This window comes from Homo sapiens, chromosome 1 (assembly GCF_000001405.40).
Source record: "Homo sapiens chromosome 1, GRCh38.p14 Primary Assembly".
Lineage (NCBI taxonomy): Eukaryota > Metazoa > Chordata > Mammalia > Primates > Hominidae > Homo > Homo sapiens.
In genome coordinates this window covers 149,863,613-149,889,915 of record NC_000001.11, presented here as the reverse complement: position 1 = coordinate 149,889,915, position 26,303 = coordinate 149,863,613, and the positions used below count along the sequence as shown (strand labels likewise).

The window sequence follows — 26,303 nt, the reverse complement described above, 5'->3', positions numbered from 1 at the left end:
AACTCTCAGAGTTCACCAGATTTCCTCCATTTTCTGGAGGCATTTCATCACAGACTTGTTTGTACTACTTTCAATTATCTATACACCCATGGCCCAATAGCACACATCCAATAAATGCCAGTTGAATAAACTGGTGAGAATAAAGGAGAAAACATCAGGAAAAGTGTCAAAGAATGATTTAAGTATTTTCTGGCCGGGTGCAGTGGCTCACGCCTGTAATCCCAGCACTTTGGGAGGTCGAGGTGGGCAGATCATTTGAGGTCAGGAATTCGAGACCACCTTGGCCAACATTCGAGATTTGAGGTCAGGAGTTCGAGATCACCCTGGTCAACATTAGTAGAGATGAAACCCCATCTCTACTAAAAATACAAAAATTAGCCAGGCGGGGTGGTGGGCGCCTGTCATCCCAGCTACTCGGGAGGCTGAGGTGGGAGGATCGCTTGAACCCGGGTGGGTGGGGGCGGGGTGGAGGAGGCGGTGGTGGAGGTTGCAGTGAGCTGAGATAGTGCTCCAGCCTGGGTGACAGAGGAAATTCCGCCTCAAAAAACGAACAAAAAACCCACAAGTCTATTTTTTCTCTCTAGCATTCTACCTGACCTTAAGGGATACTAAGGAAAGGGTGAGAATGGTGTAGGAGATGTAGAACTCCCAGAGATGGGACGTTGAGGAGGAAGAAACACAAGAGCTTTCAGGTTCATCTGTTATATGGGATAAAAGAAAAAAAGGAGAGCTTTCAGGAAAGATTTCTAAGACCGCTGGAGTCATGCCAGCGATTAGTGCCTGACGGCAAAATTACCCTTTCCCGGCTGTTGCTGAAATCTAAGGGATGATGATGAGGTGGACAAGGGAGCATGGAGAAAAAGTCTGAAGGGATGTTAAGGAAGCAACTGACTGGATATGCTAAGACGAAGGGAAGAGTAGAGTAGATTTCGGCTTAGGTATCTGTAAGTATGCTGGTGCATTTCAGGAAAAGAGGGCAAAGAGGGGAGGTTGTTTGTATGAGTTCGCGTTCGGATAGGCTGAGGTAGAGTTTGAGTTTGAGGTGCTCGTTGGGATAAGTAGGTTGAAGTATTCTGTAAGCAGTTAGGCATAAGGGTCTGAGCTTCTGAAACAAATTTGGACGTTAGTTGAAAGCATATAAATGGGTAAGACTCTTCGGGATAAGTGAAGAATTGGAGACAGGGAAACAGTCCAGCTGGACTCGCAGATTTAGAGATGGGCAGTGGCATGGGGGAGCAGGATAAGAAAAGTCGGCGAGGTAAGAAGAAAAACAGGGCGACATTTTGAAAGCCAAGGGAGCAAGTTTGAAGGCCGCCTCCTGGAGGTCAAGAGGAGGATGACAAATCTATTCTAGCCTCGGTCAAACCGGATTCCGAGGAGTGCAGGCGGGTGGGGGTGGGGCGGAGACACGCCGCTGCGGGCGACTTAAGTTTAGGGGCGAGAAAGGAGGCAGCCTTAGTAGTACATGTATTTTTAAAGGGAATTTGGCTGTGACGAGACAGAAAGGGCGGGACTTGGCAGTTTAGAGCTCAAGGGGATCATCGGCTTCAGAATCCCCTACTCTTTCGTGAGAGTAACTCTCCGTCTAAGGATGTCTTCTGCAGTTCCTTAGGGTCCATATTGGGATTTCCCGGCTGTAAACTAAACAAAGCAAAGCAAAACAAAACAAAAACCCACAGTGCCTCTCAGTAAAACAAAACCAGTATTTTGTTTGAAAGCCTGCTCTCTTTAAAGATCCTGGCATGCAAATAAGGGGCTTTAATGTGGCTCTCAGCGATTGGTAGATACTTACAAAATCCGTCATTTCCTTTCAGTGCAGGACGCAAACCAAGAGGCGGCTTTCTGCTTTTCTATTGGCTGTTAGATACGGCTCCGCTTTTAGCCAATCAAACGACTTCCCTTCACCCCTCCCGGTAGCTCTTATAAATTACATCAAATTGGTTATTCTTTCCACATTCTTCTCCTTGTAAAAGAAGCTGTAACTGCAATTTTAGCCGTAATGTCAGGACGCGGAAAGCAGGGAGGCAAGGCCCGCGCTAAGGCCAAGTCGCGCTCGTCCCGCGCTGGTCTCCAGTTCCCGGTGGGGCGAGTGCACCGCTTGCTGCGCAAAGGCAACTACGCGGAGCGGGTCGGGGCAGGCGCCCCGGTGTACCTGGCGGCGGTCCTCGAGTACCTGACCGCGGAAATTCTGGAGCTGGCGGGCAACGCGGCTCGGGACAACAAGAAGACGCGCATCATCCCTCGCCATCTGCAACTAGCCGTGAGGAATGACGAAGAGCTCAACAAGTTACTCGGGGGTGTCACCATTGCCCAGGGCGGCGTCTTGCCCAATATCCAGGCTGTCCTGTTGCCCAAGAAAACGGAGAGTCACAAGCCTGGCAAGAACAAGTAATTAAGAGGCTTGACACCATACTCATTCACCCCAAAGGCTCTTTTAAGAGCCACCAAAGTGTCAAATGAAGGGCTGATCACGAAATAGCGCATTAGCTCTTTTTTTGAAAACTTGGGTGGCTCTAAAAAGAGCCTTTGGTCTTGGTTTGTTTGTCTGCATTTATTTGCTTTTGGCTTTGTGGCTTTCGGTTTTCTTTGGTAACAGAACGGCCTGGATGTTAGGCAAAACGCCGCCCTGGGCGATGGTGACTTTGCCCAGCAGCTTGTTCAGTTCCTCGTCGTTGCGGATGGCCAGCTGGAGGTGACGAGGGATGATGCGCGTCTTCTTGTTGTCCCGAGCCGCGTTGCCCGCCAGCTCCAGGATCTCGGCGGTCAGGTACTCGAGGACCGCCGCCATGTAGACGGGCGCGCCGGCCCCCACCCGCTCCGCGTAGTTGCCTTTGCGCAGCAAGCGGTGCACTCGCCCTACCGGGAACTGGAGGCCAGCGCGGGACGAGCGCGACTTGGCCTTGGCGCGGGCCTTGCCTCCTTGTTTGCCACGACCAGACATGACTGAAATCAAGGTTAAACACAGACAACGCTCAGAACCTCGCAACAAAATAAGATTGAAAGAGAACCAAGAGGAAAGCCTTTATAAGCTTTCCTAGGGGTGGGGTCAAGAACGAGTTTTTCATTGGTCCTAATATGGCTTCAGAACCGGCCAATCAAGTCAAGAGTCGGTGTTGTTACGTACGCATTGCTGAAAACGCAAGGTCCGCACACGGACCAATGGAAATGAACGACTTTCGGAGCCCTAATTTGCATAAGGTGGTTATAAAAGAATCAGGCCCGCCCATTCTCTTACTTCTTTTCTTGGCTAAGCCGCGTTTGTACTGTGTCTTACCATGCCTGAACCGGCAAAATCCGCTCCGGCCCCTAAAAAGGGCTCCAAGAAAGCCGTCACCAAAGCCCAGAAGAAAGACGGCAAGAAGCGCAAGCGCAGCCGCAAAGAGAGCTACTCCATCTACGTGTACAAGGTGCTGAAGCAGGTCCACCCCGACACCGGCATCTCGTCCAAGGCCATGGGCATCATGAACTCCTTCGTCAACGACATCTTCGAGCGCATCGCGGGAGAGGCTTCCCGCCTGGCGCACTACAACAAGCGCTCCACCATCACATCCCGCGAGATCCAGACGGCCGTGCGCCTGCTGCTGCCCGGCGAGCTGGCCAAGCACGCCGTGTCCGAGGGCACCAAGGCGGTCACCAAGTACACCAGCTCCAAGTGAGTCCCTGCCGGGACCTGGCGCTCGCTCGCTCGAGTCGCCGGCTGCTTGACTCCAAAGGCTCTTTTCAGAGCCACCCACCTAATCACTAGAAAAGAGCTTGTTCACTTATTCCCTTAGTTTCTTTTCATAAAGTAAGTTATTTTAGTGTGAAGGTCATGGGAAATGGCATACGTAGCTTTTTAACTATTTGGAACTCGAGGTCCCCAGTGCGTCATTGGATTTGCTTTTGAATCTAGAGCGTGTCTTTACTCATTGTGCTGCTTAGCCTTCCCAGGAGTCGGTTCTCAATTAGGCTGTTGGGAATCCGCCTCTTTACCCGCCCCCACTCCCGCCCCACACGCGCCCTGGTGGCTCCTTGGGTCTGTTTCATTCTAAAACGAAGTGGCTGAGTTCGGCTGTCATTTAAGAGAACTCCAGGACACAATTCAGCCCGGGTTCCGCAAACACTGCGTGACAGCTCTGTATGACTGACGCTTGGCAGCAGCTTTTGTGTCCGGTCACCAGTTCTGCCGTGCGATGGGGCCTCCTGTGGATACCAGCCGTTCTGTGTATTTTGGACGAAGGCCGCGCAGCCGGGTCCCAGCCTTGTCCTGATTGGGCGACAAGAATATTCAAAATTCTGCGCCTTTTTCTAATTTGTAGATTTCAGTTTCCGTCGTTCACTTTGAGACTTTGAAATTCCTATTTCTCATTTTGTTGATAATTTCTGCATTTAATGGTCTGTGCTTTAAATGGTAACGCTACGGCCCCAGGTCACTGCGAGGCACTTACCATGTAGATACGGGCTCAAAAGTCACCTCTCAGAGACCTACGTCATCCACTCAGGAATTCGCGCCTCTCATACTTGCCTGTCTCATTTTATCTTCCTTCTAGCAGCTGTCTGAAATTGGTTCGTCTGTTTTCTTGTTTATGGTATTCTCAAGCCCTTGACAGACCGGCTAGTGTGGTTTTCCCGTGCATCTTCAGCCTGGCACATTATGGACACTTAAATACTACGTATTGATCTAATATTGTTGGGTTAATTTTTCCATCCCACCCTTTTCTTAATCGCTTCCGTGGATGGATGAAGGGTGCTGTTCATTTCCATTAGATGTATGTGAAGGCACAGTGAAAATGGAAATGTTCTTGGAGCTACTTCCTCAAAATGTATCCTTAGTCACCTCAGTGCAACAGCTGGGAGGGGGCCGTGTTAAGATTTTTTTTGCTACAAAGAGGAGGTGGCAATGGTAGATCCACCCTTATGCTTCTCAGTTTAGCATAACCTCTTATGGATTTTCATCAAATTCAGCGTGTTGGTCACTGGAAAGAGCCTTTTCCTTCTCCTTTTCTTACTCTCCCCTCATGGTGTTCCCCTCTTAAAGGAGAGGAGCTTTTAATTTACACTTACCACCTCATTTGCTTTTCTGGAGGCCATGCAATATAGGCGGGACTACAGAGTTAATCTCCTTTTTACAAATGAGGCCAAGAGAAGCCTCATTGGTTCACAGTCATGCAGCTCATACTGTCCACCCTTGTATTCTCAGATGCAGGACAATTGCATTTTAGTTTTATTTTGTGGAGGTGCAGAATATTTACTCTTTCTGTCCAACCCTTGATTCTGCCGAGGAAGACACTGATGGTTTGATGAGTGATTCAGCTGTTTTTGGCTAAGGGCTTTTGGAGCTGATGGCAGGGGTTTGATGAATCCAAATGAGCTCTAGACATTATCACAGACTGAATAGATCTTAACTGTCTCCTACATGTGTGTTTTCAAATGTGTATAGATGCTATTGTTATTAATAAAGTTACCAATTAATTTAAAGGCTTTGCTGGATTCTTTTATCTACAGTGTATTTTCTCAATGAATGAAATTAACAGATACAACTTCCACTGTGTCTGTAGAAAAGCGTGGGTGCCTCTGATCTGGGGGATGACTATTTATAAGCCACCAGCCAAACTGCTGCCCCAAAGGTGCACTGGGGCTGAAATAGTCTGTTACAAGGCCACTGTTAATGCTTAGTAATTGAAAAATATATGATCACAAATAGACAGCAGTACAAATAAGATGGAAGAAATAAAGTTCATAATAAAGTTAAGCTAACACCTACGGAGCACTTACTACGTGCCAGGTAGTGTCCTAGGCCCTTTATATGTATTGACTCATCTAATTCTCACTGGGACCTCAGGAAGTAGTACCGTTATTATCACCCATTTTACAGATAAGGAAACTGAGGCAAAGAGAAGCCTTTCTTCAGAAACTCTCCAGAGAATAAGCTCCTAGGTTAGCAGTTAAGGGACTTGAGAAACAGGGTCATTCTGAAAACCTGGACCCTTCCTGTGTTTTAGGGGGAAATATCTATGCTTTAGAATTGAAAAGAAATACCACTGGCTTTATTCTCTTCAGAGTGCACCCTGGATATAAATCCTGGGTGGTGGTGGCTGAGTACATTGAGGGTGGGATTAGGTGGCTGTGATCCTTCATCCCAGAGGCCATAGCTCAACTCAATTGAGTTTGTCCCCACAGTGGTGGGGCTCACCAGCTGGAATCCTTTCACTAACATGAGAGAGCCTTAGTTGCTGGTTTTGGGCTCCACCTGGGGATGATGTTCACTGGGAAGGATGTTATAGAGTGAGGAAGGGGGGGAAGAGGTGATAGATTTTGATATTTTAACTCTGGAGGGGAAGTAATTGGTGAGATTAATCCTCAAGAACCTCTTTGATCGTTTCTCCTGCTCAGACATCTTTAAACATTTGCTTATGTTGGGGTTAATAACAATAATTGTTAAAATAATGATTGCTTCCCCTTACTAAGCACTTAACTGTTTACCTTAAACTTACTTAGCAGTAAGCTAAGAGTTTACCTTACACTTACTTAGCAGGATGGTCTTGATCTCCTGACCTCGTGATCCACCCGCCTCCTAAAGTGCTGGGATTACAGGCGTGAGCCACTGCGCCCAGCCTACAGCCACTTTTTAAGATAGGTTCTGTTGGCCACACGCAGTGGCTCACACCTGTAATCCCAGCACTTTGAGAGGCCAAGGTGGGTGGATCATTTGAAGTCAGGAGTTCGAGACCAGTCTGCCCAACATGGTGAAACCCCACCTCTACTAAAACTACAAAAATTAGCTTGGCATGGTGGTGGGCACTTGTAGTCCCAGCTACTCGGGAGGCTGAGGCAGGAGAATCCCTAGAACCCGGGAGGTGGAGGCTGCCGCCACTGCACTCCAGCCTGGGCAACAGAGGAAGACTCTATCTCAAAAAAAAAAAAAAAAAAAGGAAAAAAAAATGAAGGACCAAAAGGACACTGTCATAGCTCTGTAATATGGCTTATCAATAATTCTGGAGTAGGCCTAAAGGGCAGCTCTGTTTGGGTTTCAGAAATTGACCCTTAAGTGAGAGACTGTCCCTGTAACCGAGGGGACTAGGTTTAATAATTCATTTAATATGTGTGATTGAAAATCTGTATCTACTAATTTTATAAATATTAAGTATCTATGCACATTATTAAATTCTATAAGAACGGCATTCTGGGACCAATTTTCTTCTCTCTGACTCCTAAGCATTGTTAGGTGTGATATCATTTGTTCTTTCATTCAAGAGTTTATTATCTGTGAAGATGGCAGGCAATCTGCTAGGTAGTGAGGACAGAAAATTGAACAGGCGTGGCTTCTGCCTTCCTGGACCTCTAGTGACTAGAAGAGAAGACATATTAATCCAGTGACTATGAGAAAGTGTGACAAGTATTACGACTGTAGAAGTATAGATATAGAGAGTATAATGGAGGGAGTCGTAACTTCACATTGGTGGGTGTAGGGAAGGCCTCCCTGAGGAAAGAACCTTTAGGATGACACTTGACAAGGATAGGAAGGGTGTACCAGGCAGTGGATGGCATGGGCAAAGGCCTGGAAAGAGTGGAAAAGATCATGGTCAGGTAGATAGGAAGAACTGCAGGAAGTCTAGTACAGGTGGTGGTTAGAGGGCAAGGAGGACAGTGCAGCATCAAGAGGTTACACAGGTAGACAGAGCCAGATCTTGCAGGATTAGGCCAGAATGTATAAACTGCCTTTAAAGAAACCAATGAGCTCCTAGGCTGACCTGACTATGGGAACAGAAAGGAGCTGTGTGGCACTAAAAACAGAAGAGTTAAAGTCTCAGAGACCACATGGTTTATGCCCATCAAGCACTTTCTGGAGCAGATGGACCCTGACCCTCAAAAGTGTGTGTTTGTTCCCTGCAACAGGGCTTCCCTTAAAGTGGAAATGGCTTTGTCAGGCCAACCAGATTGACACCAACTACCATGGTCACCTGCCTCTGTGTGCTGCAGGTGGCCTTCTCATTATAGTTTGCCTTTCTTTACAACTCTGCTTCCAGTAGAATGATGGGTGGATCAGGGGAACCGAATATGTGCTCTTTAGAGAGTTGTCTTCAGGATGTAGTTTATCATGAGCCTCTGTGCTCTATTTTCTGTAAATTGGTACTTAGAGGCTTGATTAGATTTAGGTTTAGTTTTTCACCCCATGACATGACTACTTCATAGGTGGTACTATTTCTTTTCTATCAGGAGACATGTAATGTCTAGCTGCTTCTTTTTTTGTGGTAACAGCAGTGATTGATTCTCAATGCTTAGATCAATTAATTCATTATCAATTGCAAAATAATGATATTCTGTCACTCTTCTTTCATATATTAGCTGGAATACTTCAGTAAAGAGGAATATTATTATTTTTTTTAGAGATAGGGTCTTGTTCTGTCACCTAGGCTGGAGTACAGTGGCCAGATCATAGCTCACTGGAACCTCAAACTCCTAGGCTCAACTGATCCTCCCACCTGAGCCTTCCCAGTAGCTAGAACTACAGGTAGGCATCACCACGTTGAGTTAATTTTTAAGTTTTTTGTAGAGATGGTATGGTACCAAGGCTGGTCTTGAACTCCTGGCCTCAAGTGATCCTCTCACTTCTTTTCAAATCGCTGGGAAAAATTATTATTTTTAATAGTAAATATCTGGAAACTACTTGTATATCTACTAGTATGTGGCAATAAAATGTTAGGGTCCCTTTTGGTGGAAATAAAAAAGGATATGTGTGTATTGATATGTATGCACCGATATGAAATAAAACACTTTCCGGGGATTTCACATAACAAAACTAATAATAGTGGCTACCCTTTTTTTTTTTTTTTTTTTTTTGAGATGGAGTCTCATTCTTGTTGCCCAGGCTGGAGTGCCATGGCACGATCTTGGCTCACTGCAACCTCCACCTCCCAGGTTCAAGTGATTCTCCTGCCTCAGCTTCCCGTGTAACTGGGATTACTGGTGCGTGCCTCCACGCCTGGCCAATTTTTTGTATTTTTAGTAGAGACAGGGTTTCACCATGTTGGCTAGGCTGGTCTCAAACTCCTGACCTCAGGTAATCCACCTGTCTCGGCCTCCCAAAGTGCTGGGATTACAGGCATGAGCCACTGTGCCTGACCAATAGTGGCTACTCTTTTTTTTTTTTTTTTTGAGATGGAGTCTTGCCCTGTTGCCCAGGCTGGAGTGCAGTGACACGATCGTGGCTCACTGCAACCTCCACCTCCCGGGTTCAAGTGATTCTTCTGCCTCAGCCTCCCAAGTAACCGGAACCATAGGCTCGTGCCACCATGCCCCGCTAATTTTTGTAGTTTTTAGCAGAGACGGGGTTTCACCATGTTGGCCAGGCTGATCTTGAACTCCTGACCTCGTGATCCACCTGCCTTGGCCTCCCAAAGTGCTGGGATTACAGGCGTGAGCCAACGCACCCGGCCAATAGTGGCTACTCTTAAGGAGAAGAATTTCCTTGGGCCAAAAGATTTTGCTTTTTCCTTTATATCTTTCAGTACTGTTTAAATTTATGATCAATGTTCACTTAAAAACAATGTCAGCAGAGGTTATGTGAACAGTGGGATTATTGGCCATTAAAAAAAAGCCTATAAGATTTTTTTTTGTTGAAAATAATGTATTTAAAAATACCTGTTCTACTGCCTGGCACTGAGTAGGCTCTCAATACATTGTAGTTAATTCTAAAAAATGGTTAAAAAAACTTCATCAATGCAAATAGCAATCAACTTAATAACAGTAGCAGCAACAGCAACAACAAAAACTCCAGAAGTCCCTAGGGTGGATGAGGTAACATATAGGTTTGGGATTGAGTCTCCACTATTCCTAACCTATTTTTTAAAAATCCCTCAAGATTATGAACACTTGCTTTGCAGGAGGCAGTCTCTGGAGTGATTTTCCTGACTAGTTAACTTCACTAATGTGTCCTCGGTCACAGGTTTGGTCATCAGACGGACTAAGAGAGCCAGTCAGGCTCTTTAAGGAGGCCTGGGTCATCGAGAACTGTGAAACTAGCTAAAAATCAGAGTTGATGGAACTGGCCTGGGAGAGTTGGTATAGGTTCTTGAGCAAGTCAAGAGCAATATTTTGGGCAGGTTATTATGACCTTTGTATCTTTATTCTGAAGAAATGTGCAGGATGCATAGAAGAAAGAGAATACAGGAAACCAGAAACCAGTGGGGAGGCTGCTGCAACCAGTAATGAGGTCTTAGACAAGTATAGAGACAGCAGGGAGAGAGAAGATAAACAAAAACCATGTTCTGAATGAAGGAGGCAAAAAACTGTTTTAGTTTTCTATTTATGTGTAAAAAATTACCCCAAATTAAGTGGCTTAGGACAATACTCCTTTAGCCTCTCATAGTTTCTGTAGGTCTGGGCATGGCATAGTGGGAGTATTTGATTAGAATCTCACAAGGGTAAAATCAAAGTGTCAACTGGGCTGCATTTTCATATGAAGCCTGGGGTCTTCCAAACTCATCCACGTTGTTGGCAGAATTCAGTTTCTTGCAGGTGTAGAATTGAGGCCCTCAGAGGCTGCCCTTCTCCACAGGCATGTCACAGCATGGATATTTGCTTCTAATGGCCAGCAGAAGAGCATCTCTGTTGCTTCCACTTTATCTAATTCAGGGAAGGCATTGACCCTCTTTTAAAAAGCTCACTAGGCCGAGTGCAGTGGCTCATGCCTGTAATCCCAGCACTTTGGGAGATCGTGGCAGGCAGATCACCTGAGGTTCGAGACCAGCCTGGCCAACATGGTGAAACCCCAGCTCTACTAAAAATATAAAAATTACCCGGGCATGGTGGCAGGTGCCTGTAATCCTAGCTACTCAGGAGGTTGAGGCAGGAGAATCACTTGAACCCAGGAGGTATAGGTTGCAGTGACCCTGGATTGCACCACTGTACTCCAGCCTGGGCAACAGAGTAAGACTCTGTCTCAAAAAAAAAAAAAAAAAAAAAGGCTTACCTAAGTCAGGGATTCCCTTTTTATTAACTCAAAGTCAACTGATGAAGGATCTTAACTACATCTGCAAAGTTTTCTTGATTAACAGCAAGTACAGGTTCTGCCCATACTCAAAGGGAGGGGATTTAAACAACGGGTACCAGGGGCCAGGACTCACGGGAGCCATCGCAGAATTTTGCCTACTACAGGAATATAGAGGAACTGTGTGTCTGAAGTCAGATACTTTTCTGTGACTTAAATTAATTTTAAAATAAAAGAGTAAAAAGTAAAAATTCCCAGTTACTGAAAGCCCACAGTGTGCAAAATACTATAGACATACCATTTCAAATCCTCAGAACAAATCCTGAAAGGTAAATGTTATGGTTTTTATCGTGGAGGATACTGAGGTTCAGACATGTCAAAGAACTTGGAATTTTCCTTCTAGTACATCATGTTGTATCAAAACAACCCCAAAAAAGTAAATATTACCCCCATTTTACAAAGAAAGAAATGGATATTTATGCAGTTTAAATAACTTGGCATTCCCTGATACACCATGGTGCTCCTGAATTTTACTAAAACATTTGTCTAAAATTTGCAAATAGCAAATAATCTGAGGATCTAGCAACATATTTTCCATGTCTGTTTAATAGAACCATAGAATATTAGTGCTGGAAGGAACCCAGAAATCATCTGGTCCAATTTCCCCATATTATGTTTTCCCTGATTTTAGTATAAAATTATTCTCTCACCTCCTGTCCCCATCAGATCCCTAAGTGGAGTAGATGTTCTTTAGAGGCCCATCTTTGGGATCATCTCTCTTTTTTTTTGGAGACAGGGTCTCACTCTGTCACCCAGGCTGGAGTGCAGTGGCGTGATCTTGGCTCATGGCAACCTCTGCCTCCCGGGTTCAAGCGATCCTTGTGCCATAGCTTCCCAAGTATCTGGGGCTACAGGTGTGCACCACCATGCCCAGCTAATTTTTGTATTTTTGGTAGAGATGGGGTTTCTCCATGGTCTCAAACTCCTGGGCTTAAGTGACCTGCCCGCTTGGCCCTCCCAATGTGCTGGGATTACAGGAGTGAGCCACTGTGTCCGGCCGGGGCCACCTCTTCATAAGCTCTTCCCAGGGACTCCCAGGGCTTTCTCCAGCTCCTCTGGGCAGATGAGAGAAGCCAACTGGGTCTCTAGATGTGCCTCCAGATACACACTCCCAGTTGTCTGAAGTACGTGGCCACTTGCCATTGCCAGTTGACCGTTATGATCCAGTGTGGCCTGAAGTGAACTCTGTTCAGCAGCTCCTCCTTGCAGGCTGTCTATTCCTGTGAAGGTGGCATCATTCTCCTAGTCATTCAGGCAGGAAGGTGCAGAGTCATCTTGGATTACATTTTGCCCCAACAACTCCCTTTCTGCTCTTTCCCCTATCCAGGTTCAGGCAATCTTCTATGTGCAATAAAGTCAACAGTTCCCCTCCTGTCCATTCCTGTGTCTGGTTCCCTTGTTCTCATCCTTGGTCCTCTCATCTTTGTCCCCAAGACTTGGCCTCCTGCTTTGGGTATGGCTCCCTTCTGATTGGTTTTGCACCCTCCATCCCAAATTAACCGACTGTATACACAGCTCATATCACGTTACTTAGAACCATGGCTGCACTGTGTCCCCTGACATTTCCTCCTTAAAATTTTGTTTTTAATGCAAACTTATTTGGAGATATCTCCCTTTTCCTTATTTAGTATTATCCCATTTTATGTGCATTCCTTAGTCTGAGACAATTACTCTTTTTGCTTTTATGTGTTATTGTGAAAAAGTATATTTCTATGCATTTAAAAATTATTCTTTAGTATTTTTTATTTTTATTTATTTATTAATTTTTTTTTGAGACGGAGTTTTGCTCTTGTTGCCCAGGCTGGAGTGAAATGGTATGATCTCGGCTCACTGCAACCTCCACCTCCCGGGTTCAAACAATTCTCCTGCCTCAGCCTCCTGAGTAGTTGGGATTACAGGCACCAGTCACAATGGCCAGCTAATTTTTGTATTTTTAGTTGAGGTGGGATTTCACCATGTTGGCCAGGCTGGTCTCGAAATCCTGATCTCGTGATCCGCCCACCTCCCAAAGTGCTGGGATTACAGGCATGAGCCACCGCGCCTGGCCTCCTCTTGGGTTTTTATGGAAGCTTCATGATGTCAGCATTCCTTCCCCCAGGGTATAGGGCGGGAACCTCTCCGGGGAGGGTCTTAAGACCCTCAATTAAAAAAGTGGGCAAATATTAGAGTTCTGCCTTGGGGCAGGTGAAAGGAGGGCAGGAGAAAGAGAGATTCTGTTTCCTGAGACCTGCCTCTGGGGCCTAACATACCCAACATTGGAGTGTACTGTACTCTGTAAAAAGACCATACAAGGGCTATGGAAGTTATGAGCCAGGAACTGTGGACAGAAACCAATATACATTATAACACCACATATATGTATATTTTTTCTTTCTTTTCTTTTTTTTTTTTTTTGAACCTTGCTCTGTCGCCTAGGCTGCAGTGCAATGGCGCTACCTTGGCTCACTGCAACCGAAGCCTCCGGGGCTCAAGCGATTCTCCTGTCTCAGCCTCCTGAATATCTGGGATTACAGGTGCACACTGCCATGCCCGGCTAATTTTTTGGATTTTAGTAGAGACAAGGTTTCACTGTGTTGCCCAGGCTGGTCTCGAACTCCTGAGCTCAGGCAATCCACCCGCCTAGGCCTCACAAAGTGCTAGGATTACAGGCGTGAGCCACCACGCCCCGCCTATATATGCATATTTTTTTCTAACACTTACATACTTTTTCTTGGTGCCAAGAATGTTTTAAACACTTTACATGTATTAACTCATTTTATCCTCACAAAACCCTGTCAAGTAGGTAGTGTAAGTATGTCCATTTACAGATTGGGAGATGGAGGAATCACAGAGCGGTTAAGAAACTTTCTCATAGTCACACAGTCGGTGCCAAACCAGATTTCAACTCCAGAGTCTTCCTTTAGTCACTATACTACACTACTAATATCAAATAAGTAAGATGTTGATGCAACATTGATAGTAATTTAAAAGATTAGAAACAACCAAGAGCCGGGGTGTAGTGGCCCATGCTTGTAATTCCAGCATCTGGGAGCCCGAGGCGGGCAAGTTTGTTGGGAGTTGGAGACCAGCCTGACAACATGGCAAAACCCTGTCTCTACAAAAAATATAAAAACTAGCCTGGGCGTGGTGGTGTGCGCCTGTAGTCTGAGCTACTTGGGAGGCTGAGGTGGGAGGATCGCTTGAGCCTGGGAGATTGAGGCTGCAGTCTGCAGTGAGTTATGATCACACCACTGCACTCCAGCCTGGGCAACAGAGACCCTGTCTTAAAAACAAAACAAAACAAAACCACCTCCGACAACGTAGGAATGCTGAAATGAGTTATGTTAATTCTAAGTAAAAACTCAACCTATCCCAATTAGCCCAAGACCACTACTTAGTCTACCTAAGCCAAGTCTGTTGACTTGTTACAATGAGGGAGAACACACAACAGAGAAACTGGTGGCAGGGTGGTGGGAGGAGGGTGCTCACCAAACAAGAGGAAAATTAGAGTTATCAATGATTTTGGGGGACGAGTGGAGTGTAGTTTTCATAGGCTCAAAGCAAAGCAGGGCTGTGTGAAAGGGTAGGCATAGGATGGGACTTTGCAGTGGATCCAGGGTCTTGTTTCCTCAGAAACTACAAAGTTGAGATAGAGGTGGAATGCTGTGTTCAGAAACCCCTTACTTGAAGTTTTTGCACCTGGGTTGAAAATTACTGCTGGTTTTTTGTGTCAAGGTGGCTTAGGTCCTCCAGACAGGAGGGGGATACTGCATTGTTACTGATTGATAGGATTTCAAGCAGCCAAAGTTCTGATAGTCTGTAATTTTGAGTACAAGTTCCTCAGTGAATAAGAAAGGAGTGGTCACTCAAAGAGGGGAGTTATGAGCCTTTATAGCTGTAGCATGCCCTTGGGAGAAGAATGTTTTCTGTCATTTCTAGTCTAGCTTTATCTCTGTTAGTGCAGCCTAATGAATGGCAGAACAGGTTTTGATTTTCTCAGTCCTAGCGAATTTCTGCTTCTCGAAGTGCATGTTAGTGGTAATGTGTTTTATATCTTACTTTATTTATTATTCCCCCCCCTTAATCTATATTTTATTTTATTTATTTTTTATTTTTTTGAGACGGACTCTCGCTCTGTCCCCAGGGTGGAGTGCAGTGGTGCGATCTCAGCTCACTGCAACCTCTGTCTCCCGGGTTCAAGCGATTCTCCTGCCTCATTCTCCTGCCTCAGCCTCCTGAGTAGCTGGGACTATAGGCGCGCGCCACTACGCCTGGCTAATTTTTGTATTTTTAGTAGAGACGAGGTTTCACCATGTTGGCCAGGCTGGTCTTGATCTCCTGACCTCGTAATCTGCCGGCCTCGGTCTTCCCAAGTGCTGGGATTACAGGCATGAGACACCGCGCCTGGCCTAATCTATATTTTAAAAATTGAACTCTTCCATGTACCCCTGAACCTAAAATAAAAGTTGAAAACAAACAAACATACAAAACAACAACAACGACAAAAAAAAAAAAAAAAAAAAAAAAACCAGGCCGGGCATCGTGGCTCACGCTTGTAATCCCAGCACTTTGGAAGGCCGAGGCGCGCAGATCACGAGGTCAGGAGTTCGAGACCAGCTTGACTAACATGGTGAAACCCCGTCTCTACTAAAACTACAAAAATTAGCCGGGCGTGGTGGCACGTGCCTGTAATCCCAGCTACCCAGGAGGCTGAGGCAGGAGAATCCCTTGAACCAGGGAGGCGGAGGTTGCAGTGAGCCGAGATCATCCCACTGCACTCCAGCCTGGGAGACAGAGCGAGACTCTGTCTCAAAATAAAAAAAAAAAAAAAAAAAAAAGAGAGAATTCTGTACTTTGTAATTAGAGGGGTAATTCATTAATTCATGTCAGGGGCATATTATTTTATTTTTCCAAATGCTAGGAAGCAGGTATCCATTTTTGATAATATAAATTTTGGGATAATTGGCAGTCATCTGGCTCACAGGGAAAACAGGAAAAACAAGAAACCTAAATAAACTTCATATTGATTTCCCAAAAAAATTACCTTTTATTTTCAACCCTTATAGAACTCAACCTGCATCTCTTTGCCATCCATGTTCTTTTTTTTTAGAGACTGGGTCTCATTCTGTCCCCTAGGCTGGAGTGCAGTGGCATGATCATAGCTCACTGCAGCCTCAATCTCCCAGGCTCAAGTGATCCTCCCACTTCAGCCTCCCAAGCAATTGGGACCACAGGCGCATGCCACTGTGCCTGGCTAATATTTTATTTTTTTGTAGAGATGAGGTCAATCTGCATTAAACTTCATGTTGCTCCAACACCGCATTTTATCTCCCCACTTTCCCAGCAATGGACAACTAGGCTTGTGCCAATTCTCCATCACCACCAGAAATGCTGCAATGAACATTGTTGTATATATTCCCTTTTGGACCTATATAAGAATTTCTTTTGGATAAAAACTCAGGAACAGGAGTGCTGAGAAGCCAGAAACCAGCAGTTCTGTTCAGAGTTTTATTTACATCTAATTGAACTAAGGAGTGTCAGGCTCCCCTCCAGAATGCTTGTCCCGGACTTCCAATACCAAGGTAGCTGGACTCTGAGCCCACATCCAGGCCCAGTCCTCGGGTCATCCAACTTTCTAAGTTTTGCCAGACTGCCTGGTGTAAAGTGGTATCTCAGCATTGCTTTCGTTTTCATTGTTCTGGGTATTCATGAGTTCAAGCATCTCTACCTGAGCTTGATAGTTTTCGGATTTCTTCTCCTGTGTATTGCCTGTTCATATCCTTTGCTCCAACATTGTTTATAGAGCACTCCCTCCCTACTTTGGCATTTGGGGTCCCCTAAACTGGCCCCCATTGCTAAAGCTTACTTCTCATGACTGACCTTTGCCCATGCTGCATGTGGTCCAGGAACAATTCTTCTGTCTTTGTTTTTGCTGTCCCCTCTTGCCTGGATTACATCATCTTCTCCAAACCCCCAATCTAAACATGTCCCGAATCCTAAATATTCTTTAGAACCAAGCTCAGATATCACCTCCTCCTGGAAGGGTTCCTTTATTTGCTCAGCTGGCCTTGGCCTTTCCCTCTTGGCTCCCACAAAGCTCAACCTGCATGTATTTTTATTTATTTATTTATTTATTTATTTATTTATTAATTAATTATTTTTTTGAGACGAAGTCTTGCTCTTGTCCCCGAGGCTGGAGTGCAATGGCACGATCTTGGCTCACTGCAAACTCCGCCTCCCGGGTTCAAGTGATTCTCCTGCCTCAGCCTCCTGAGTAGCTGGGATTACAGGTGCCTGCCACCATGCCCGACTACTTTTTGTATTTTTAGTAGAGACGGGGTTTCACCATGTTGGCCAGACTGGTCTCAAACTCCTGACCTCAGGGGATCCGCCCCCCTCGGCCTCCCGAAGTGCTGGGATTACAGGCGTGAGCGACCGCGCCAGGCCTCAACCTACATTTCAAGTCACCATCTGTCACAGGATACCTTCCACTCTGGCTCTGGATATGGGGGTCACCTCCTCACAAAGACAGACAGGTTGTATGTGCATACACAGAAAGATTCAGAAGAAACATGAAGACTTTTAAAATCAGTGAGATGATTTTAACTTTCTTTAAATCAGTGAGATGATTTTAACTTTCTTCTTTGTAGTTTTCTCTAGCCAGTTTTAAAAACTGTAAGTTGTAGGCCGGGCGCGGTCACTCACACCTGTAATCCCAGCACTTTGGGAGGCTGAGGCGGGTGGATTACCTGAGGTCAGGAGTTCAAGACCAGCTTGGCCAATATGATGAAACCCTGTCTCTACCAAAAAATACAAAAATTGGCCAGGGGTGGTGCCGCATGCCTGTAGTCCCAGATACTCAGGAGGCTGAGGCAGGAGAATCCCTTGAACCCAGAAGGCAGAGCTTGCAGTGAGCTGAGATTGCGCCACTGCACTCCAGCCTGGGCGATAGAGCGAGACTCCATCTCAAAAAAAAAAAAAAAAAAAAAAAAAAAATCCAGAAAAACAAAAACAAAAAAACCTCCCAAAAAACCACAACTATAAGTTGTAATCCATAGTGCAATTAATTTACTTGGTAGAGATCATCTTTTCCTTTCATTTTGCCCTTTTGTAAGAATCATAAAACGGGAAAATATCACCAATAGTAATTATCATTTTGTGAAACTTGTTGCAATTTTTATTTTCCTGTGAATGTGACTGGGAGGCAATGTAAATGTATTTCTTTTTTCTTGTTGTTGAGACGGAGTCTCACTCTGTCGCCCAGGCTGGAGTGCAGTGGCAGATCTTGGCTCACTGCAAGCTCCGCCTCCCGGGTTCACGCCATTCTCCTGCCTCAGCCTCCCGAGTAGCTGGGACTACAGGCGCCCGCCACCCATGCCTGGCTACTTTTTTTTAATTTTTTTTTTTTTTTTGTATTTTTAGTAGAGACGGGTTTTCACCGTGTTAACCAGGATGGTCTCGATCTCCTGACCTCGTGATCCGCCCGCCTCGGCCTCCCAAAATGCTGGGATTATAGGCGTGAGCCCCAGCGCCCGGCCAATGTAAATGTATTTCTTACTGTAGACTTGAGGTCAGGAGAGTGGGCTGTACTGGACACATATTGATATTATTTGTATCTATTCCATGTATCACTTTCTCCTAAAGCATCAAATCTAATACAAAAAAAGAAAAGCAAAACACAAAACCTAGGCTCAAATTCCACCTTGGCCATGTTTTAGCCGAGTAACTCACGTTCCCCGGTGTCTAATCTTTACCAGAAACTTCCTTATCTTTAACATAGGGAAAAAGCCTTTTCTTCTTTCCAGGGTTGTTGTGGACTCAAACGAGAGGCTGTTAGTGAAAGGTTTTTGTGAGTTATGAAGCTCCTAGGAACCCAATTATTTCTGCTGCCTTGGCCACATAGTCTAGAAGAATCTCTACATAATTAGCATCTAGAGACTAGATAATTTACCCATTATTTTCCATGTGCTTGTCTTATTTCCCAGCATGACGGTAATATTTCCAAGGGAAAGATCTAGGATATATATCAAGTAACGTTTATCATAAAAATAATGAAATTGCTAATAACTATTAATTTATTGTCATGTTGAGACTCTGCTCTAAGTACTTTGTATGGACTGTATAGCAATTTATCCCTGCACGAATCCTATGAGGTATGTGTATTTATTGTTACTGTTTTACAGATATTGAAACTAAGACACTGAGCCTCTATTTTAGCCTCATGTCTTCTTTCCTTCCAGCTTTTCCAGGCAAGTAAATGCAGGCCACAGTCTGCCAGCTGTCCAACCATTCAGGCTTTTCATTATTATAGGAAGCATCTGGCCAAGGACCACCACCATCTTCCTGTCCTGCCCCTGAAGCTGTGAGTTCCCCAAGTGGAGACACAGCCTGTTCCCCAACACCTACACTCATGAACATGGGAGGGTTGGTCAAAATTGCACAGCTATCATGCTTAGTTTTATACTCAGGTGTAAGTGACTGATAGAAGGGCCTTTTGGAGGTGGAGAGTGCGCAGGTTCTGAAGAGGCAAGACCGGGGAAGTCTGGACCTGCTTCCAGAGTGTCCTCCCACAAGGCTTAGTGCTCAGGACCTGTAGTGGGTTGAATATGTTCCCTAAAGTTCGTGTCTATCCAGCATCTCAAAATGTGAACGCATTTGGAAACTGGGGCTTTGAAGACGTAAGTAGTTAAGGATCTTGAGATGAAATCATGCTGGATATAGGATGGGCCTTAAATTCAATGACTGGTATCTTTATAAGAGAAAGGAGAGGGAAATTCGGACACACAGAGATGAGTAAGAAGCCATGTGAAGATGGAGGGAGAGATTGGAATGAGGCTGCCACAAGCCAAGGAACATCAGAAGCCACCAGAAGCTGAAAGAAGCAAGGAAGGATTCTCCCTGAGAGCCTTTAGAGGGAGCATGGTACTTTATTTCAGACTTCTGGTCTCCAGAACTGTGGAAGAATACAGTTCTGTTGTTTTAAGCTACCAAGTTTGTGGTCATTTGCTATGGCAGCCCTAGGAAACTAACACAGGTTGAGTATCCCTTATCTGAAATGCTTGGGACTGGGACTGTTTCGGGTTTCAGATTTTGGAATATTTGCATATATATAATGAGATATATTGGGGATGGGACCCAAGACTAAACACAAAATCCATCTATGTTTCATAAATACCTTATACACACTTACACTGTGCCCCATTTTCTCCAACAACTTGACTTTCTGTACTATAGATAAACATAAATGTTTTCTCTCCCTTTTTTTTTTTTTTTTTGAGACAGAGTCTTGCTCTGTCGCCCAGGCTGGAGTGCAATGGCACAATCTCGGGTCACTGCAACCTCCTGGATTCAAGTGAGTCTTCTGCCTCAGCCTCCCGAGTAGCTGGGACTACAGGCATGTGCCACCACGCCGGCTAATTTTTGTATTTTTAGTAGAGACGGGGTTTCACCATGTTGGTTAGGCTGGTCTCAAACTCCTGACCTCAAGTGATCCAGCCGCCTCGGCCTCCCAAATTGCCGGGATTACAGGCATGAGCCGCCGCGCCTGGCCTTGCTTTTTCTCTTTTAAAATTACTGTTACTCATGGGGTATCTGCAGGCCTTTTTGATATTTTCAACAATATCTTTATACCACAGAGCAGAGAATAAGCAAAAAAACCCCACAGTGAGTAAGGCACGTAGGTCTTGGCTCCTACATGGGGCATTATGGGGAACGTGCTGTTGACGACACTGGCCTGCACACATGCCATTTTATGACCCTTTGTGGGTGTGTGCACGTTGGGGAAACCGGGCATGTGCAGAAAAGATATATCTCAGCGGAAAGGGGCTGGGAGGGCCTTTTATTTCCTTGGGGGAAATACTGTGCATTGTATGACCCGTTGTGTGAGGTCAGGTGTGGAATTTTCCACCGAGGCACCACATTAGTGCTCAAAATTGTTCAGATTTTGGAGCCTAGGGTTTCGGATCTTCAGATTAGGGATGCTCAACCTGTACAACATCCTTGCAACAATCTAGGTGTGAGCTTTCCTCAAGAGCAAGAAGAGCTTGCCACTTCTGCTATATGACCACGGTGAAGCCAGCCTGTCACCCTCCTGCCCTGGATGACCCCAGGGAGCTCTACAGAGGTCCATGGCTGGGGGAGGCCAGCAATTGTCTAGGAGAGCTCAGTCCACTTGCAAAGACGACAGATCTCTCTACAAATTCTGGGCTGAGCAGGTGAAGGAGGCTGGTCAGGCCCATGAAGGAGCCTAGTCAGCCGTAAGGAAAGGTTCACTGTGGGGCCCCCGACTTTCCATTCCTGATCTCCTTTTTACCTCTGCTGCCCACTTCCTTTCCTCTTTCCCTCCAAGTATACCTTATACTCTGCTCCTGATGACACTCAGATCTCCCCCCGCCCCCCCGCCCCCATCAAATATAAAGAGCCTAGTGACTTTTGTAAGAACGGTGTATTCATTTCCTAGTGTTGCATTAATAAGTTACCATAAACTTAGTGGTTTAAAACAACACAAATTTGCCGGGTGTGGTGGCTCACGCCTGTAATCCCAGCACTTTGGGAGGCCAAGGCGGGTGGATCACCTGAGGTCAGGAGTTCGAGACCAGCCTGACCAACATGGTGAAAACCCGTCTCTACTAAAAACACAAAAATTAGTCGGGTGTGGTGACGCGTGCCTGTAATCCCAGCTACTCAGGAAGCTAAGGCGGGAGAATTGCTTGAACCTGGGAGGCAGAGGATGCAGTGAGCCGACATCACGCCATTGCACTCCAGACTGGGCAACAAGAGCGAAACTCCGTCTCAAAAAAAAAAAAAAAAAACATGAAACCAAACAAAACGAAAAAAACCACACAGATTTATTCTCTTACCATTCTGGAGGTCAGAAGCCCAAACATAAGTTTTAAGGGGCTAAAACAAATGTCTGAAGGACTGGTTTGTTCTGGAGGCTCCAGGTATATAATCCACTTTTTGACTCTTCCAGCTTCTAGAAACTGGCATTTTTTAGCACCTGGACAGATCACTCTAATGTCTGCTTCTGTCATCACACCCCCTTCTCCCTGATTGACCCTCTCGTCTCTCTAAGGATTCATGTGATTATATTAAGGGCTCATCTCAATAATCCAGGATAAGTTCTTTATCTCAAGGTCCTTAATTTGTTCACATTTGCAAAGTCCCTTTGCCATATAAGGTAACATATTCACAGATTCCAAGGATTGGGATGTGGATATCTCTGTGGGGCTATTATTCAGTCTACCACAAATGTGCACTCCTTTCTAAAGTATTTATCTTCGAGCACTGAGGGGAACTCTGCCTTCAGCTAAGGCTACACAACTATCCTGATGGTGGACTGTAGCAACTTGTAGGCAAGGGGTACAGCTCAGGGCAGCTACCTCTCCCTCTTCTCGGGCCAACCTGGAGGAAGTTCCTTCCAGAGTCCAGGCTATACTTGCTTCTGGCCTGCAAATTCCCGAGAATTCTTTGAAACCTAGGAGGGGCCTGGGTATTATGCCGTTTTGAGTGAGAATTCAGAGGCCAGTGGAATTAGGGCAATCAGGCATTTCCTGATCATCTGCTATGCTCCAGGATGCTGACTTGAAGAGATGAACAAGGCAAAATGCCCATTCTGACGGCACTCAGAATTTCACGGGGAACTGGAAGGATAAATGAATCTGGGAGGAACTGCTAAAACAGGTAGGAGAGGGTAAGCTTGTTAGAACCTGAGAAGAATGCTGTCTGAAAAGGTAGAGAAGTCAGGAGAAGCAGTGAGGCCCTCAACCCTGTGTGTCACAATGCCTCCTGTCATTTCCTCTCTGAGTTTCCAGTACAAGCTTCTCGGTGGCTGTTTTCTGCCCAAGCACATGAACTTTGGAAGACCTAGCACTTTGGACAAAGTCCCTGGCCCTGACACTTAATAGTTTGGGGAACTTGGGCAAAATACTCAAAGCTTCCCAGTCTGTAAAGTGAGAATGATAAAACATCTGCCTTCCTTGCAGGATTGTTGTGGTGATGTGTAAGACAAAATATCAAGCATAGTCAGCAGTCACTGAGCTTAAGGAATGTTAAGTTATAATCATTATTTCTGAACTTCAGTGCCCAATATGACCCTGTTGACACCTCCTTTGCCTCCTTGGGACATACTCTCTTCTGGTGGTCCTCATCCCTTTCCAGCTATCCTCTGTCTCTTGGTATTCTCCTAATCTACCAACTCCCATCAATGTTCCTGCTTGCCCAGGGTGCCTGTCTCAGTCCTCTTCTTTTCTCCCTAACCCCTGGGAAGATCTCATCAAATTCCCTGCCTCTCGTTTTCCTTATCGATTTGCTGAGGGCTTACTCACAAGTTTCTCCAGCTGAGACCCTTTACTGATCAGAGTAATAACAACTGGTGGATGTGTTCTCCTAGGTAGAGAACAGGAATCTCAATTTTTAATGTTGGGAGGGACTTTATGCATCTTTTTGCTTTCAAAAGCAATTTCTGGCTGGGCGTGGTGGCTGATGCCTGTAATCCCAGCACTTTGGGAGGCCGAGGTGGGTGAATAACTTGAAGTCAGGAGTTCGAGACCAGCCCAGCCAACACGGTGAAACCCCGTCTCTACTAAAAATACAAAAAATTAGCTGGGTGTGGTGGCAGGCGCCTATGATCCCAGCTACTTGGGAGGCTGAGGCAGGAGAATCGCTTGAACCCGAGAGGCGGAGGTTGCAGTGAGCAGAGATCTCGCCACTGCACTCCAGCCTGGGCAACCGAGAGAGACTCTCTCAAAAAAACAAAAACAAAAATAAAAGCAATTTCTTCTCTCTGCATTCTCCATGTTACTGAAACCTAACATCAACCCCATAGCTCCTCAGGCCAGAAGCTCCTTTATTGCATGCATTCTCCAAATGCCTAAATCACCAATTTTTTCTTTCTTTCTTTCTTTCTTTCTTTCTTTCTTTCTTTCTTTCTTTCTTTCTTTCTTTCTTTCTTCTTTCTTTTTTTTTTTTTTTTTTTTGATACGGAGTCTTGCTCTGTTGCCTAGGCTGGAGTGCAGTGGTGCGATCTCAGCTCACTGCAAGCACCGCCTCCCGGGTTCACGCCATTCTCCTGCCTCAGCCTCCTGAGTAGCTGGGACTACAGGCACCCGCCACCACGTCCGGCTAATTTTTTGTATATGTAGTAGAGACGGGGTTTCACCGTGTTAGCCAGGATGGTCTCGATCTCCTGACCTCGTGATCTACCCGCGTTGGCTTCCCAAAGTGCTGGGATTACAGGTGTCAGCCACCACGCCCGGTCAATTTTTGTATTTTTAGCAGAGAGGAGGTTTCACTGTGTTGGCCAGGCTGGTCTCGAACTCCTGACTTCATGTGATCGGCCCACCTTGGCCTCACAAAGTGCTGAGATTACAGGCATGAGCCATCACGCCCCGCCCTAAAACACCAAATCTTATTAAATCTATATTCTACAACTCTGTCACATCCATCACTTCATCTCTGCCCACTCCTAGCACTGACTTAGCTGAGGACATCATCAATTCTGATCAAAGGACCCTAAGTCTAAGTAACAATACCACTTTCATGGTAGGCTTTCCCCGGAACCAGCTGGACATAATGAGAATTTTCAAGAGAATGTGAATTGCTCTTTACTTGATTTTCTTTTTTTTTGAGATGGAGTATCGCTTTTGTCGCCCAGGCTGGAGTGCAATGGTGCGATGTCAGCTCACTGCAACCTCCACCTCCCGGGTTCAAGCGATTCTCCTGTCAGCTTAGCCTCCTGGGTAGGTGGGATTACAGGCGCCCGCCACCAAGCCCGGCTAATTTTTTTTTTTTTTTTTTTGTATTTTTAGTAGAGATGGGGTTTCACCATGTTGGTCAGGCTGGTCTGGAACTCCTGACCTCAGGTGATCCGTCCGCCTCGGCCTCCCAAAGTGCCGGGATTTCAGGCACGAGCCACCGTTCCCGGCGATTTTCTTTTCTTTAAGACTAATCTGAAAGTGCGGAACTCTGTGTACCTGAAATGATTACATTTTGATATTGACATGAAAAAATTGGGTACTACTTTGCCCCAGTTTCTCAACCCAACAAAGACATTCCAAAAGTTTCCTATGGGGCCTAGGAAGGTTGGCCTTCACAGGATAGTGGCAGGAGTGTTAACTTTGTCCTATTACCAAAAGGTGTCAAAGCTGTTACTAAATTGTCTGTGTCAGTATCGGAAACCCCGACAGCACTGGAGAATTCCTCATGGTCCTTCCAGACCATGGTCACAGTGAGAAGCAGATTCTGTTGCCCTGGCCCTGTGGGGAAATCCCCAAGATGGCTGCTGATAGTTAAGGAAACAGTGTCCTGCCATGGCCTGACCCTAGGCTGGGTGAGAGAGAGTGGGTCAGACAGGCTGCACTTCCTCAGTGAGTGTGCATACACCTGTTCGCACTGCCTATCGTTTCCTCACCCAGTGTGAGAGCAGGGGGCTCAGTTGGGCTGAGTGGAGAATTCATGGGACCTTTCCATGGTCAAGGCCCAGAGCTTCTATTGTGTAGCATCCCTGGAACAGAGAACAGGAGGCAGTCACAAGGCCCCAGCTTCAACCTTTGACAGTACACCAGAAAAGACCAAGTAGTGAGGCCTCCACTGTCTCACACCAGCCAAGAAAGACCAGGTCTTAGACTATCCAGTGTTCCTGCCTCTCTTTCACGGTGCTGTATCTGGGGAATGAATACTCCATTGTCATAGGAGGGGCAGATGCGGGCGGAAGACTCAGAAGGGTCAAGGTAGGACATAGACATTCCCACTAAGCTAGAGACCCCTGAACTGCCATAGCCATGACATGCACACGTTGTCCTCAAATCCCAGGGCCATGGGCAGGTCTTGGATATCTTTGGAATTTTAAGTTGGTTGGCATCTGTCTAGTTTTAAACCTGATTTAGGTTCAGTTCAACCAGGGAGTATGATTCTTTGGGGAGAGGGCCCTGACCTAGAAATCTACATGCTCAGCGGTCTGCTCAGCCACTAATGGCTCTGACACACTGGAAAGGCACTCACCCTCTGGGAGTTTCAGACTGTATCTTTGAAAACAAAATTCAGTGGATGGGGTGCAAAGGTATTGTCCTCAACAGCTCTAAGTTACTACTTCTAACTCACAGAGCACATATCACAAAGGATCCCACTATCCATTGTCGGTCTGAGCAGGGAATGAGACTTTGGCAGACCATGAATCCTGTATTAATTTCTAGGGGGACTATAACAAAATACCACAGACTTGGGGGTTTAAACTGAGATTGCACCACTGCACTCCAGCCTGGGTGACAGAGTAAGACCCTGAGTCAAACAAAAAAAA

At 45.8% G+C, this 26,303-nt stretch overlaps 3 protein-coding genes across 3 annotated transcripts, besides 11 other annotated features; 2 read left to right on the top strand and 1 right to left on the bottom strand.

The window, feature by feature from the left end:
* Positions 1,063-1,657: an enhancer, noted in NCBI's record as "NANOG-H3K27ac-H3K4me1 hESC enhancer chr1:149859809-149860403 (GRCh37/hg19 assembly coordinates)". NCBI's record gives its function as "activates a minimal SCP1, AML or CMV promoter by ChIP-STARR-seq in naive H9 embryonic stem cells {active_cell/tissue: H9 hESC(naive)}" and the evidence as "EXISTENCE:reporter gene assay evidence [ECO:0000049][PMID:30033119]".
* Positions 1,141-1,260: an enhancer, noted in NCBI's record as "active region_1663". NCBI's record gives its function as "activates an Ori minimal core promoter by ATAC-STARR-seq in GM12878 lymphoblastoid cells {active_cell/tissue: GM12878}" and the evidence as "EXISTENCE:reporter gene assay evidence [ECO:0000049][PMID:35858748]".
* Positions 1,881-2,170: an enhancer, noted in NCBI's record as "active region_1662". NCBI's record gives its function as "activates an Ori minimal core promoter by ATAC-STARR-seq in GM12878 lymphoblastoid cells {active_cell/tissue: GM12878}" and the evidence as "EXISTENCE:reporter gene assay evidence [ECO:0000049][PMID:35858748]".
* H2AC21 (H2A clustered histone 21) lies at positions 1,951-2,447 on the top strand. The gene has a single exon (NM_175065.3). The coding sequence runs from the start codon at positions 2,000-2,002 to the stop codon at positions 2,390-2,392; it is 393 nt and encodes a 130-aa protein (NP_778235.1). The 5' UTR covers positions 1,951-1,999; the 3' UTR covers positions 2,393-2,447.
* Positions 2,191-2,330: an enhancer, noted in NCBI's record as "active region_1661". NCBI's record gives its function as "activates an Ori minimal core promoter by ATAC-STARR-seq in GM12878 lymphoblastoid cells {active_cell/tissue: GM12878}" and the evidence as "EXISTENCE:reporter gene assay evidence [ECO:0000049][PMID:35858748]".
* A 57-nt stretch (positions 2,448-2,504) lies between the features above and the next one.
* Positions 2,505-2,998, bottom strand: H2AC20 (H2A clustered histone 20). Its single transcript, NM_003517.3, has one exon. It carries the CDS (start codon positions 2,939-2,941, stop codon positions 2,552-2,554), a length of 390 nt encoding a protein of 129 aa, NP_003508.1. The 5' UTR covers positions 2,942-2,998; the 3' UTR covers positions 2,505-2,551.
* Positions 2,741-2,800: an enhancer, noted in NCBI's record as "active region_1660". NCBI's record gives its function as "activates an Ori minimal core promoter by ATAC-STARR-seq in GM12878 lymphoblastoid cells {active_cell/tissue: GM12878}" and the evidence as "EXISTENCE:reporter gene assay evidence [ECO:0000049][PMID:35858748]".
* Positions 2,931-3,000: an enhancer, noted in NCBI's record as "active region_1659". NCBI's record gives its function as "activates an Ori minimal core promoter by ATAC-STARR-seq in GM12878 lymphoblastoid cells {active_cell/tissue: GM12878}" and the evidence as "EXISTENCE:reporter gene assay evidence [ECO:0000049][PMID:35858748]".
* On the top strand, positions 3,234-5,457 carry H2BC21 (H2B clustered histone 21). The gene has a single exon (NM_003528.3). It carries the CDS (start codon positions 3,276-3,278, stop codon positions 3,654-3,656), a length of 381 nt encoding a protein of 126 aa, NP_003519.1. The 5' UTR covers positions 3,234-3,275; the 3' UTR covers positions 3,657-5,457.
* Positions 3,321-3,610: an enhancer, noted in NCBI's record as "active region_1658". NCBI's record gives its function as "activates an Ori minimal core promoter by ATAC-STARR-seq in GM12878 lymphoblastoid cells {active_cell/tissue: GM12878}" and the evidence as "EXISTENCE:reporter gene assay evidence [ECO:0000049][PMID:35858748]".
* Positions 3,681-3,770: an enhancer, noted in NCBI's record as "active region_1657". NCBI's record gives its function as "activates an Ori minimal core promoter by ATAC-STARR-seq in GM12878 lymphoblastoid cells {active_cell/tissue: GM12878}" and the evidence as "EXISTENCE:reporter gene assay evidence [ECO:0000049][PMID:35858748]".
* Positions 4,038-4,631: an enhancer, noted in NCBI's record as "H3K27ac hESC enhancer chr1:149856835-149857428 (GRCh37/hg19 assembly coordinates)". NCBI's record gives its function as "activates a minimal SCP1, AML or CMV promoter by ChIP-STARR-seq in naive H9 embryonic stem cells {active_cell/tissue: H9 hESC(naive)}" and the evidence as "EXISTENCE:reporter gene assay evidence [ECO:0000049][PMID:30033119]".
* Positions 4,181-4,260: an enhancer, noted in NCBI's record as "active region_1656". NCBI's record gives its function as "activates an Ori minimal core promoter by ATAC-STARR-seq in GM12878 lymphoblastoid cells {active_cell/tissue: GM12878}" and the evidence as "EXISTENCE:reporter gene assay evidence [ECO:0000049][PMID:35858748]".
* Positions 4,641-4,690: an enhancer, noted in NCBI's record as "active region_1655". NCBI's record gives its function as "activates an Ori minimal core promoter by ATAC-STARR-seq in GM12878 lymphoblastoid cells {active_cell/tissue: GM12878}" and the evidence as "EXISTENCE:reporter gene assay evidence [ECO:0000049][PMID:35858748]".
* Positions 5,458-26,303: the final 20,846 nt, after the last annotated feature.

Bases quoted from the DNA above. Each gene is read 5' to 3' on its own strand.
- H2AC21 (NM_175065.3), top strand. From the start codon at position 2,000: ATGTCAGGACGCGGAAAGCAGGGAGGCAAGGCCCGCGCTAAGGCCAAG.
- H2AC20 (NM_003517.3), bottom strand. From the start codon at position 2,941: ATGTCTGGTCGTGGCAAACAAGGAGGCAAGGCCCGCGCCAAGGCCAAG.
- H2BC21 (NM_003528.3), top strand. From the start codon at position 3,276: ATGCCTGAACCGGCAAAATCCGCTCCGGCCCCTAAAAAGGGCTCCAAG.